Here is a 15,045-nt window from a genome sequence, read left to right as displayed (position 1 = left end):
GCTTGAATTTGGGAGGCAGAGGTTGCAGTGAGCCAATTGCGCCACTGCACTTGAGCCTAGGCGACAGAGCGAGACTCTGTCTCAAAAACAAAACAAAACAAAACAAAACAACAATAACAACAAAAAACAGGAGGCATGTCTTTAACATGTCTTATCAAGCCCCCAGAGATCATTCCAAAGGACAAAACAAAAACAAACACAACCAATGATGCTGCTTAAAGCCACACTACCAAATAAAGAAATGGCAAGCTATACTACTTATGTAACGGGGTAAAATAACTGCATCCCATTCCTCAGATCCTTGTGCTGACAATAAAAATAGTTAGTCATAAAAGGGATAATATGAAAATAATTATAGTACACACAGGTATGAAATAAGAAAAAGAACAATGTGTAAATTATGGGCCAGAGGAAGATAAACGGCCACAAATGGGCAGCGAAGCGGTATCCATTGTTTTAACAGATACTTATTGAGTATTTGTAGCAAACTATTTCAATGGAGTATTGTTTCAGGTATTGAAGATAGGGTGATAACCAAGATAATGTCTCTGCCTGCATGAAATTTATATTCTAATGCTGAAAACTGATGATAAATTGATCACATAAATTGTAATTTAAGGTGGTGGTAATGCAATGAAGGGTTAAGAAGAGACAGAGGTTGCTATTTATCTTAGGATAGTAGTGAAGAGCTTGCTGAGGTGGTAGCATCCAAGTAGATGACTTAATGAATGAGAAAGCCACAAAAGTACTTGGGAGAATAGATACCTAGGCAAAGATATAGCAAGTGCAAAAGCCCTGAGGTAAGAGTGTGCTTGCTATGTTTAAGGGATAGAAAAGAAGCTAGAGTAGCTAGAGTGTAATGAGAGAGGAAGGTGTTTTAGAAGATGAGATCAGAAGCTATAGATTTCCAGAGTCAGAATAAGAATTTTGGATTTTGTCCTAAGTATGAGGGAAAACCATTGGAGGGTTTTGAAGCAGGAGGGTGAAAATATCTGAAAAATTTAAAAAGGACAGCTCTGATTACAACATGCACAAGGGTAATAATTTAATCATGTAGAATCCAATAAGCAGAGTTCTGTTGGCAATTTTTACTGCCAAACTGAATTAATCATCCCTGTCCCTAAATTTGCTCCCCCTCATGAATTCTCTATCATTATAAAGGGCACCATAATTCATCAGTCTATCCACATAACCGATCTAAGAATAATCTTTGACTCTGCCTCCTTCCTCATATCCAAGATACCAAAAGTATGACTCTTATCTTCACTGTTTTCACTGCTGTTACAAGAGAAAGGAAGCTATTTAACCTGGACTACTGCAAAAAACTACTTAAACTTACTGCTTGCATAAATGACCTTCTTTAATTCTTTAAGTCTGAGGAGGATGGATGTGAACTTTCTTTTTTTTTTTTTTTTTTTGAGATGGAGTTTTGCTTTTGTTGCCCAGGCTGGAGTGCAATGGCACGATCTTGGCTCACCACAACCTCTGCCTCCCAGGTTCAAGTGATTCTCTTGCCTCAGTCTCCCAAGTAGCTGGGATTACAGGCATGCACCACCATGCCCAGCTAATTTTGTATTTTTAGTAGAGACAGGATTTCTCCATGTTGGTCAGGCTGGTCTCTAACTCCCGACCTCAGCTGATCCACCTGCCTCGGCCTTCCAAAGTGCTGGGATTACAGGCGTGAGTCACCACATGTGGCCGGATGGATGTGAACTTTCTAAACTTGAAATCTCATTGTGTCTTTTCCCTGCGAAAAGGAGCTCCCTGCTTTCAGCAGCTCCATCTATCTTTTAAGGTAATCACAACTGCTTAATTCTGTGCAAATACCATATAACCTGGCTTGTCTTTCAGTTATGTTATACCTCTCAATATGCCTCACCCACTTAAAACTCCACTGGTGGGGAAGGGAAAGAAGCCCTACTGGAATCACCTGGAGAACTTTTCCCAAACAAAATGAATGTCTTTCTGGAGATTCAGATTTGTTTCCCTATGGCTTTTAATTGAAAATGACTACTAGAGTTGACAACTCTTACTATCAGAAGTACATTCTACCTACCCTCAGATATGTCAGGTAAGAAATACACTAAGAACTTGTACTATAGCCACACCAAATCACTTTCATTCCTCAGAACAAGCCAGGCTATTCCACAGTTCCTTACTGTGTATATACTGCATTCACCCACAACACCATCCCTAAAAAGTAATTTTTTATTAAATGCCAAATCATTTTTCAAATATCGTACTAAAACTTAAAAGATTTTATTGGCAGTTAAATGATTATTCTCCATTGTGCTTCCAAAGTCAGTCAAACAAATCACTATTACACACTTTAACTATTTACATGTGATATATCTCCTTTTAAGATAGTGGGTCTCTTAAAAGCAGGATATTATATATTGAGTACCTGCTATGTAATAAGGCACCATCTTTATTACACTTACACCCCAGAGCCGAGCATAATGGCTATCAAACTTTTAACAAAATCCTTAATGAATAAATTAATATTCCACATAATTTCAATTTATAATTTTCCCTAATCTAAAACGATGTACTCTGACCCTCTGAGAAGTTTAAAGATGAAAAATAAAAACAGTTAAGGTGGAATCTAGACAGAAATAACTGGCAGGCCTATCTCAGAGGCAATAGTAGTTGCAAATAGGCTTTCGACCTCCATTTGAGTCTTCCTCAAATTAATAAATCTAATTAAAAATAAAAAGCTATGCAAAATTGACATATTTGTTTTAACAGGATGCTCACAGCCTTGTTCACTTTGGATCTGTGGTTGTTTTAGGTTATCTATTTGTTTTACTTTTAATATGTCCATAACTCTGTTCAACTTAGAGCAGTGGTTCGTAATCTTTTGTGGATTAAAGACCACTTTGAGAATAAGGTGTAACCTACAGCCCTTTCATCCATACAACTATCAACATACACACTTGCTTTTCCTATAACTTCAAAGGGTTCATAAACCCCTCAAACTAATCCATCCACCCCAGATTTAAAAACTTTACTCTACAGGGCAGTAGCTGGGTTAATTTAATTTAAAAATGCTCAGTATAATGTGCTAAAATCGCAGTTCCAGGAACAAAGTATTTACTTAAAAAAAAGGTCAAAATAACATTTTATAAAAATATAAAATCCCCAAAACTAAATGTCAGTGCTAAAAATAACAGCACAAAAAATAACTCTATCATCCAATAACAAATGTTCAAAGTTAGTGAAATAATATCCTATCAAATATCACATCATAAGTAAATAGGAACAAATACATTTCTCTAAAAGTAACAAAAAATTCTTTTGAAATATAACATAAAATCTAATGTTCATAATTAACCTTAAAACATTTATAGACAGTACACATTTCTCTCTTTTTGGTAACTTCCCTAATGTCTTTTTTTTTTTTTTTTTTTTTTAAAGAGACAGGGTCTTGCTATATTGACCAGGCTGGTTTCGAACTCCTGGCCTCAAGGAATCCTCCTGCCTCAGCCTCCCAGAGTTCTAGGTATACAGGTGTGAGCCACCAGGCCTAGTCTCAAATTTCATTTGGGGTGAGTAGTTAGGATGCATGATTAAGAAAAAAAATATTTCCCTCTGATTTCAAATTCTTTCTAAACTGAAACAAAAAAAGAAATATGTAAGAACTTTTATTAAGAAATTATTTAAAAAATATCTACTAAAATAAAAAAATTGATTTCCAGAGATAAAAATATTTAAAATACATGAGTTGAAAGTACAAAGGTACATTTTATAACTTTATATCTTTCTCAGAATTTCTGGAAATTATTAAAACTATAGAACCTTAGGCTGAAGAGAACCTTGAGGATAATCTGGTTCAGCGGCTCACAACATTTTTTTTGCTGCATTATACCTAACAACAAGGACATGTTCTTATTACTAAGAATTGCTCCCCATAACACTGATTTTCAGTTAGGAGTTATATGCCCATACCAGATCTCCAAGAATGCACAGGTCTAGGCCAAGCAATTATTGATGACGCCAAAATGTCCCATCTTTTCATTGGCCCTCTCCCAAACACTTGGGAGAGTGGTCTATAATGTGGAAAATTCATTACAGACTAAATTCTTTTAGATAATTTCTTTTTAAATAATTTTAGATTTACGGAAAAGTTGCAGATATGGAAAGCTCCTGTGTATCCTTTACCCATAAGGTAAAATTTTTTATTAACTGGGTCTTGGTAGGAATAAACAATTTTTAAAATGTTACCTAAAAAAACAAAAAAAACAACAACAAAGAAAAACATGTTTCCAAATTCTTTTATCCATTCTTTCAAATTCTGAGGTCAAAATGATTTCAGATGTCACAATATAGTGTTTAAACAGTGAAATTACCAATTAAAAGCACAAAAATGTGAAAAAAAACAGCACTAAATATATCTGAAAAAGGATACTTTTTAGTGTACCATAGCTTAAGAAGGCAAAATCACCTTGTTCGAACTCAGCTGGAAACAAGCATGTCATATAATTCAAATTTCCCCTGCTCCATGCATGTACACAAATGACTGCCAAAGTGCCATGCCACCAGTACTGATGTTGGAGTTACTAATAAATTTTATTGAATAGGTAAATTTATAACTATGGAATCTGCAAATAATGACTGACTATATAGTTACATTTATTAACTACACTTACCTTTGAAGATCCATTTGAATACATCTGTATCATATTCTCTGCACCTTGTTTTACTTTAAGTTCTATATCCAATTGTTTTTGTAAGGCCTTCAATCTATTGTTGCTAGTAGAACAACGAGGGTCATTATTTGGAGTATCTGGAGTCCTTGGGCAATCTGTAAATAAAATATTGTTAAAATTACTTATTAGAATGAATTGCTGCTTAAAATTGGAAGTTAATATTTTTCAAATAAACAGCATTTTTCAAACTTTGAGATGAGCCTAAATGAAATCTCCTTATACTTATAGATAATCCATGAATTCAACCAATTCATGCAAAAAAAAAAAAAACACGTATCTGAGTTGCAAGACTACTTCCCAGGGTAGATTCCACTTAAAATATAAAAGTGATTATATTAAGTCTGAAACTCAGTTAGATGATTGTCCGTGGTTTCTCCAACACTATTTTTGCACATCTGGTAGAATTTGGCTATGAACCCCTCTGGTTCTGGGCTTTTTTGGTTGGTAGGCTATTCAATTTTGGAGCTTGTTTTTGGTCAGTTCAGGGGTTCTATTTCTTCCTGGCTCAGTCTTGGGAGGTTGTATGTGTCCAGGAATTCATCCATTTCTTCTAGATTTTCTAGTTTATATGCACAGAGGTGTTCCTAATATTCTCTGAAGCAATTGCAACAAAAGTAAAAATTGACAAATGGGATCTAATTAAATTAAAGAGGTTCTACATAGCAAAAGAAACTATCAACAGAGTAAACAGACAACCTACAGAATGGGAGTAAAATATGTGCACAAACTACACATCTGACAAAGGTCTAATATCAGCATCCATGATGAACTTAACAAGGAAAAAATAACCCCACTGAAAAGTGGGCAAAGGACATGAACAGATACTTTTGAAAAGACATACATGTGGCCAACATGCACATTAAAAAAAGCTCAACATCACTGGTCATTAGAGAAATGCAAATCATAATCACAATGAGATACTATCTGACACCAGTCAGAATGGCTTTTCTTTCTGAGACAGAGTCTTGCTCTGTCACCCAGCCTGGAGTGCAGTGGCGCCATCTTGGCTCACTGCAACCTCTGCCTCCCAGGTTCAAGCGATTCTCCTGCCTCAGCCTCCTGAATAGCTGGGATTACAGGCATACGCCACCATGCCTGGCTAATTTTTGTATTTTTAGTACAGGCGGAGTTTCACCATGTTGGTCAGGCTGCTCTCGAACTCCTGACCTCGTGATCTGCCCGCCTTGGCCTCCCAAAGTGCTGGGATTACAGGCGTAAGCCACTGCACCTGGCTCAGAATGGCTATTATTAAAAAGTCAAAAAATAACAGAGGCTAGCGAGAATGCAGGGAAAAAGCAATGCTTATACACTGTTGGTGGGAGTGTAAATTAGTTCAACCATTGTGGAAGACAGTGTGGAGATTCCGCAAAGACCAAAAGACAGAAATACCGTTCGACCCAGCAATCCCATTACTGGGTATATACCCAAAGCAATATAAATCGTTCTGTCATAAAGACACATACATGTGTATATTCATTGTAGTACTATTCACAATAGCAAAGACATGGAATCAACCTAAATGCCCAGCAATGACAGACTGAATAAAGAAAATGTGATACACACACACACACACCATGGAATATTATGCAGCCATTAAAAAAAGAGAGATCATGTCCTCTGCAGGAACATGGATGGAGCTGGAGGCTATTATCCTTAGCAAACTAATGCAGGAACACAAAACCAAATACCACATGTTCTTTCTTATAAGTGGGAGCTAAATGATGGGAACACATGGACACATAGAGGAGAACAACAGTCACTGGGGGCCTATTGGAGTGTGGAGGGTGGGAGGAGGGAGAGGAACATGAAAAACAACTATGGAGTACTAGGCTTAATACCTGGGTGACAAAATAATCTGTATAATAAAACCCCAAGACACAAGTTTACTTATATAACAAATCTTCACAGGTACCCTTAAACTTAAAATAAAAGTTAAAAAAAAAGCATAATATGTTGTTTTATAGGTTTCTATGATTTTAGGAATGGGAATATTTTCAAAATCTGTGTTAGTAAAGTCCCTAAAAATTCAAAACATGTGCCATTTAAAGATGAATTTCATGGAAATAAATTTGTCCTAGAGTAAAATAAAAATGGGAACTATTAATACATAAATCATTTATAAATCAATGCCTGCAGATTTTGAAAATTATCATTTTCCAAGTAAATAATTTTCATTTTGCAAAAATAAATAAATAAAACTTCAGAAAGAACCATCTAGTTATTCCGGATAATCCATTATTATTGAAACACTTCTTTTTTTTTTTTTTTTTTTTTTTTTGAGATAGTCTCACTCTGTCGCCCAGGTTGTAGTGCAGTGGTGTGATTTCGGCTCACTGCAACCTCCGCCTCCTGGGTTCAAGCAATTCTCTGCCTCAGCCTCCCGAGTAGCTAGTGTTACAGGCGCCTGCCACCACGCCCGGCTAATTTTTTGTATTTTTAGTAGAGACGGGGTTTCACCATCTTGGCCAGGCTAGTCTTGAACTTCTGACCTCATGATCCACCTACCTCAGCCTCCCAAAGTGCTGGGATTACAGGTGTGAGCCACCACGCCCAGCCTGTTGGAACACTTACCTTGAATCTAAAATTCTTCATATTTTAAGTTTAGTGTTTTGTATTTTTATCCACACCAGGTCCCTTTACTTCTATAAAAGCTAAAGACTAGGGTACTACCCTGGTTCAGGTGATAAGTAACTTGGTCATGACTGGAAAACTGCCTAAACTGCAAGTTACTTTACCTTTGTGCTTCAATGTTCCCTTCACTCCTCTACAATATAAGATGGTGTGACTAACCATTTTAATGAATGTATTTCATATTGTTTTATATTCCCTTTAAAAAATTCACTAATTCAACACATGCAATTATAATTTGTTAATTAATCTAAAAATATAGATATTAAGGCTGAGGCAGCAGAATCACTTAAGGCCAGGAGTTTGAGACCAGCCTGGGCAACCAAGTCAGACACTGTTTCTAAAATAAATAGATAAATAAATAAATAATAGAGATACTAGGCTAGGATGTAAAATAATAGTGCTTTAGTTAATGATATCTGCGCAAACACATGTATGTGTGCATATAAATCCTTAAAATAACCTTTTGAGACAGATATTATCCATACTTTACATATCAGGAAACAGGCAAAGCCACACAATTAACTGAGTTCAATTCAGGAAAGGTTTCTATTCTAACTGAATTCCCCAAATTACAAATGGGCTGCTCCAAAAAACTGATATAAAATGTAGGTAAGTTTTCAAATCAAATCACAAAAGAGCAACTTAGTATATATCTAGTATAGTGGTTGAGGCTGCCCAGGTTTGAGTCTCAGTTTTGGTACTGAGATTCAGTACAAACCATGTAATACAGGGTAAGGTACTTCACAGCTCTGTGCCTTATTTTCTTCATGTGTTAAATAGTGAAAACATCATGTACCTCACAGGATTATAGTGAAGATTAAATAAATTATGTGTACAGAGCTTAGAAACAGGTGTGGTACATAGTAAATATGCAATAAATATTAACCAGCAGTACCCACTGTAGAAAGTGTATCTCCGTTAAGTCCATAATTGAACTACGCATTATAACAATGACTGAACAGTTCAGATCTGGGAACATTTTAATTTTCTTTCTTTTCTCTTTTTGGATAAATGATATCAGAATCTTGTAAGAAGTGTAAATTACACAGAATTTGGTATATAAAGATAGCTTATAGTAAGCACATTTTTTACAGAACTGGAATGCATTCAGAATAGAAGGCCCCTAGTTGAGAAGAGTATGAAAATGTGTTGTCTGTAAAACAGTTGATGGTGTATTTAGCCTAGGATGAGAAGGATAAATGATTCCTGTCTAAACATTTAAATATTTGTCTATGAAAGCTGTCCACTTACTATTTCCCCACAAGACAGAGAATTAGAACCAATGAGTAAAAAGGTAGGTAGGGCAAAAATTTTGTCGCAACATAAATTCCTTATGTTTTGGGTTATCTAACAATAAAATGGCTTGTCTTAAAATGCAATAAAGTCTCATCTCTGGAAGCACTTATACAAAAAGATTACAATTTGTTAGAGATACTATATAATAGATTCTTAAACATTACAGCAGGTTGTACTAAGATATTGAAATATCCGGCCGGGCATGGTGGCTTACACCTGTAATCCCAGCACTTTGGGAGGCCGAGGCAGGTGGAGATCAAGACCATCCTGGCCAACATGGTGAAACCCCGTCTCTACTAAAAATACAAAAATTAGCTGGGTGTGGTGGCACACGTCTGTAGTCCCAGATACTAGGGAGGCTGAGCAGGAGAATTGCTTGAACCCAGGAGGTGGAGGTTGCTGTGAGCGGAGATTGCGCCACTGAACTCCAGCCTGGTGACAGAGCGAGACTCCATCTCAAAAAAAAAAAAAAAGATATACCAATTGATCTGATAGTTTGTGAATTTGTAAAAATACTACATAACACTGTTCTTAAGGAAAAGTATGTCCTCAGTTTTAATAACAATTACAGGAATATAAGAAATAAGAAAATGGTTAAGAACCAGGGCTCTGAGGTCAGAATGCCTGGGTTAAAATCCTGTGGTTGCTACTCATTGGTATGGTCTTGATTATATACTTACTTAACATCTCTGTGCTACAGTTTCCTTAGCCACAAATTGACGGTTACTGTAAAAATAAAGCCTATATAGTGCTCAGGTCGATGCTTAAAATGTAATAAGGGCTCAATAATATTACAAGTCAGGGCTCAGCTAAGTAGCCAGTATTTCTGCTCATTTAATCTTCACAAGAAGTCATAAAGGTTTGCAATGTAACTTCATTTTACAAATAAAAAAATCTGAAACTTAGAGAATTTATTGCAAAGGTCACAAAAGTGTACACCTATGCAGAAATTTAACCTTAAATGTCTTATATAAAGTAAACTTTATAAAGTTCACTTTTTTTCCCCAATTAGAAATCAGAGAAACACTGCTGTCATCCTTGCATTTCATCTATTTTCCTCTTTAACCTGCCTTCCTACACACTGCTTTTCTTCTCTCCAATTTTCTTCCTTGTACGTTAAATTTGAGCATTATAAAACATACAGTTGCCAGTATATTTCTTAAACTCTTTCTCATAGTGAAACATATTTCAAAACAAGGAAAACTAGAACTCCCTACTCCCCATTAATACTCTCACCATTCAAAAAATTTTTTAAAAACTCTGTAAAATGGTAATTATTTTTCTACTCTAACAACTGCCTTTACATTACAAAAAGAGGTGAATCTACTCTTAAATACATACTTTGCTGGCTAAAGAAACTAAACCCCATGATTACAACAAAAAACAAATTTCCATTTGCTGCATATATTGCTAATATTACTGAAAAAGTATTTTCGGGGGTATTATAAGAAATTATGCTTGCTTCTAACCTTCTAAACATTATTATACAATTCAAAATGTATGTTATACAAATTCAATAAACTTGCTTTAATGTTTACATTTTAGATCAAAGAGATTTTAGGCATGTCTGGGTTACAGTAGACAATGCACTAGAGTTAAGCCCATAAAGTTGCATCTTTACATACATTTAGCCAATATAAATTGTTGTGCTTTAAGATGGAACGCAGACAAGACTAATTCCTCCACCAAAATATTTTTAATAGCCACATCTACCAAATACAGTCCCAACTTCACGGTTAGGCATTAAAGGTCTTGTGCTATCTAGCTCCAAGCTAATTCTCCACTACTATTTTTCCTTGTCAAATTCTGTGTTCAAAACCTTTCTAATAAAATGCGATTGTTTTCTTCAATACTATTGTTAGTTTAGGCATTACTTTCTCCAGAAAACCTTCCCTAACCATTCTCTAGTCTAACATGTCTTCAAAGTATACTTTCGTCCCTCCACTGAAATGTGTACTACACTGTATTATAATGATCTGTTTTCACATCTGTTTTTCCTCTGCGACTATAAGCATCTTGAGTGCTAAGATTTGTTCTTAGACTGAGTTTAATAGCAGACCAGACACAGAAAAATAGCAGATTAATACTGAAAAATAGCTAAGTTTTTTAAAAAGAGAAAGAGAGGAAAAATGCGACATAAAAAGACACAGAGAAAAAAAAATAAGCTCCAATATATCTTACGGTGTTTCGGAAGAAAATAGTGATTTGAAGACAATACATAAAGAGATAATGACTATCATCTTTTAAGAACTAATAAAAATGCCAATCCATAGATTCAAGATACCCAATCAACCCCAAGCATAAACATATAGGGGAAAAAAGTCCACACTTGGACACATCATGGTAAAACTTCAGAACATCAAAGACAGTCTTCACAGCAGTCAGAAAAGGGTACCTTCAAAGGAATTACAGTTAAATTTATGGCAGTTTTCAGCAACAACACTGAAAGCTGGAAGAAGGTGAAATGACAGCTACTTTATGTTAAAAGACACAACTGCCTCCTTAAATTGCGATATGGTTTGGATCTGTGTCCCTGCCCCAATCTCATGTCAAACTAAGTTCCCCAGTGTTGAACATGAGGCCTGGCGGGAGGTGACTGGATCATGGGTGTGGGTCTTTAATGAGCGGTTTAGTACCATCCCCTTGGTGCTGTTCTCACAATAGTGAGATCTGGTTGTTTAAAAGTGTGTAGCCCCTCCCACTCTCTCTCTCGCTCCTGCTCCAACCATGTAAGACGGGTTTGCTTCTCTTTCGCCTTCCACCATGACTGAAAGTTTTCTGAGGCCTCCCCAGAAGCCAAGCAGATGCCAGCATCATGTTTCCTGTACAGCCTGTGGAACCATAAGCCAATTAAAGCTCTTTTCTTTATAAATTACCCAGTCTCGGGTATTTCTTTACAGCAGTGCGAGAATAGACTAATAAAGATTGTATATATCCAACGAAAATATCTTTCAACAATGAAGACAAAATAAAAACATTATCAGACAAAGATGAAAGAGTTTTTCACAGACTTATTAAAAATTTAAAAATGCGAAAGGATGTACTCTGGGAAGAAGAAAAGTGATTCTAATTGGTAGGTCAAAAAAGAAATAACGAAGAACAGATAAAGTGGCTTAGATTTCAGTGATTTTAAAGGACCACTATATAAACAAATAAAAAAGTCATGAAGTGCTTTTTAAAAAATATAATTACAACGGCAAAAACTGCAATTACTTTTGCACCAGCCTAGTAAGACAGTAAAATATAAGCTAGGGTGTAGGCAAATAAAAGCATTCTAAGGAGTTCGAATTGTCTGAGAGATAAAAATAGCAATTAGACTACTGCCTTTGATAAGTATGCATGATGTACTATCTAAATGAATCAATTTCCAAAACAATCGAACTTTTAATAATTGATTCTTAAAAAATAGTCTAAAAATGACAAGAAAGAAAAAGAAACATTAAAGGCACAAAATAAGATACTAAATATAAACCCAAATGTAATAGTAATCATTTAAATAGGCTAAATGATCCAGGTAAAAGAGATTATTAGACAAGGTAAAAACAAATGAATAAAATAAATCCAACTATATGCTATTTTAAGAAACATATTTAAAACATGATACAGAAAAGCTGAAAGTAAGGAAATGGAAGAAAGGTATTCCACACAATCACTAACCTCAACCCACAACCTATATTAATAACAGACAAAAGATACTTTAAGGCAAAAAATACTTCAAGACAGAAAGATTACAGGTAAGTCATTTCATTTTAATAGAAGGTTCAATTCACCAGAAATATGCATCAATTCTAAATGTGTAGGTGTTCAATTATGTGGAACAAAATAAAGAAAAAACTGGCAAATTTTTTAAAAATATAGCAAATCTGCATTCCACGAAATTTTAATACTGACAGTTCCAGCACAATTACAAATCACAAAGCTCAATCAGAAAAAAATTCACCATGAATGAGAAAAAAATTAGAGGACTAGCCTTGTAAAGATTTTACTTACTGTATTTATCCTATACAGATTGTGAAATAAGTATGTTAAATATGTAAAGCTAAATGCAAGGGGTATCAACTGGGACAAAGACTATCCAAAATTACCAGGATTAACAAAATAGAAGCTCTAGCATTAAAAAAATGTAATAACAAAATTAGAAACACAATATTTGATAAAGAGTAAGTTTGATACAGGTGAAGAAACTATTCAAGAAATGGAGATAGATTTGAAGAAATTAATATGCATCTAAAGTTCCCAAAAAACTACGTAGAAGGAAAACAGGAGGTACAACATTCAAAGGGACAGAGGCTAACAATTTCCCATAATTGATGAAATACATACATTTCAGATTTAAGAAACCCAACAAATCCCAAGCAAATCAAATGAAACGAAATCTACGCCATTATACTCCAAGTCCAGAACACTGAAGACAAAGGATATCTTAAAAGAAACTAGATGATCTACATGGCTTCAACCATGAGACTGGCAGCTGTTTCCTCAACAAGAGTAGAATCCAGACAACCACGAAATAACAGTTTCTAAGTGCTGAAAGAAAATAGATGTCAACTTAGAATTGTATATAAAGGGGAAATCGTCTTTCTAAAGTATCTACTGTACTTTAGGAAGTACAAGAAAAGATCACTCTAGAAGGTAGGTCTGAGAAGCATGAAGAAATAGTGAACAAAGAAAATGATCAGCATGTGGGTAATTATAAACCAACAATGACTGTATAGAATGTTTAGATCTAATTTGTGGAATTGAAGCTAAAATGATATAAATAGAACATGGCCAACAATAGCATGTAAGTATTCTAAGTTTATTACATAATATAGAAAGGTGATTTGCCATTCAAGAATCTAGTTGACAAACAAACTATACAAGTTATTTTGGACAGAGGGAACTTAATACAGGGAACTAGTTATATCATATACAGCCAAGCATCATGCAAAGGACAACCCTGTGTACAAGTGGCAGAATTCCTCTTCTCAAAGAGGTTAGAGTCAGGTGTGTGTGTGTGTGTGTGTGTGTGTATGTGTAAATATATAATGTATGTATATATAAAAGGGACACCTTGTATGTACCTGTATGTATGTGTGTCTACACATACCAGAGTGTATGTGTGTATATATGAACATTTTCAAACATACTGCAAAGTTGAATTTTACACTGAGCACCTATATACCCATCACCTAGATTCTGCTAATCTACACACACACACGTGCCTAAGTATAGAGAGGTAAAAAGAGAGGTAAAAAAAGAAAACATAGGGATAGGGGAAAAAAATTAGAGCTGGGATTAGTAGCAGAAAAAGTTGAAATAATAGAGGCAGATGCCAGACCATTTGAAAGGCATCTCTACCATGCTACAAATTTGTACTGTATTCTGTAGCAAATGAAGATCCATTGAAAAGTTTAAATCAAGAAACTAACAGCACTGAATCTGAATTCTAGATTTAAAAAAATGCTGGCAGCAGTGTTTACGTTGAATTAAAGAAATACTGAACTTGTACGCTGTGGCAATAAAGATGAAGAAGAGATACAGATTTGAGACCTATTATCAGAGGTAGAATCTATAAGGCTTGGCGACTTACAAACTTACAATGAAGGTTGAAGGTGGGGAAAAAAGGTTTTAAAAAGTCAGGTTTTACTTATAGATTACTGGGGTCATGCACTAACGGGGCAGAAAACACAGAGAAAAATTTAGAGATAGCTGTCCAAGAAAAGAAGAGTTCAATTTTAGACATGATAAGAGGCAAAGCCAACAGGACATCCAGGTAATATCCAAAAGGGTGGCTATAAACTATCAGATGAAGCCCAGAAAACACAGCCTAGCTGGAGATACAACTTTGGAAGTCACCAGAAAATAGGATATGATTAAAATTTCCTTAGGGATAAGATTTCCCAAGGCCAGAATAAGGAGTAAATACTGAATTTGTTAGCTTCCCCCAAAACGTGTAGAGCAATAAATAGATTGCTGTTTCTGGTGCTTTTAGTATTTTCTCTAAAACCACAACTCAGCAGTTGGCTTACAAGATGAAACAGAGTTCTAGAACACAGGAGCAATCCCGATCCTTCTTAGAGGACTTCTGACTACTTAAGGTCTAGCCTTACCCTGATTCCTTGATTGTGTTGGAGATTAGGAATATGGTTTAATTCTTGAGTCTTTACTTCTCAGACCCAGGAAAGCCTCCTCAGACTTTATTTTACATCCAAATGGGGTTTCATGTTCAAACTTAGATGGCCTTGGATACCTCATGCTTTTTCTCAAGCTATCAAAATACCATGTTCACAAAACACCCTAGATAGGGTACATATTGTCTGTCCCTCTCATTCTACAAATGAGAAAACCAAGGTCTCGACAGGTTCCAGGTGGTATACACCACACAACCATTTAATAGTGCAGCTGAATGACATCTCAGATGATATAA

The 15,045-nt window shown here is 35.3% G+C and overlaps 1 protein-coding gene across 6 annotated transcripts in view; it reads right to left on the bottom strand.

Moving 5' to 3' along the window:
- The window catches only part of PKN2 (protein kinase N2), a 151,983-nt gene that overhangs the window by 71,230 nt on the left and 65,708 nt on the right, over positions 1-15,045 (bottom strand). For all 6 annotated transcript variants that reach the window (XM_047425224.1, NM_006256.4, NM_001320707.2 and 3 more), the window contains one exon: positions 4,650-4,804. In XM_047425224.1, the coding sequence (XP_047281180.1) occupies positions 4,650-4,804 (155 nt within the window). The remainder of the gene's footprint in view (positions 1-4,649; positions 4,805-15,045) is intronic.

The sequence above is a fragment of the Homo sapiens genome, chromosome 1 (assembly GCF_000001405.40).
Source record: "Homo sapiens chromosome 1, GRCh38.p14 Primary Assembly".
Classification (NCBI taxonomy): Eukaryota; Metazoa; Chordata; class Mammalia; order Primates; family Hominidae; genus Homo; species Homo sapiens.
The sequence above is the reverse complement of the archived record's forward strand: the minus strand, read 5'-3'. Positions and strand labels throughout refer to the sequence as shown.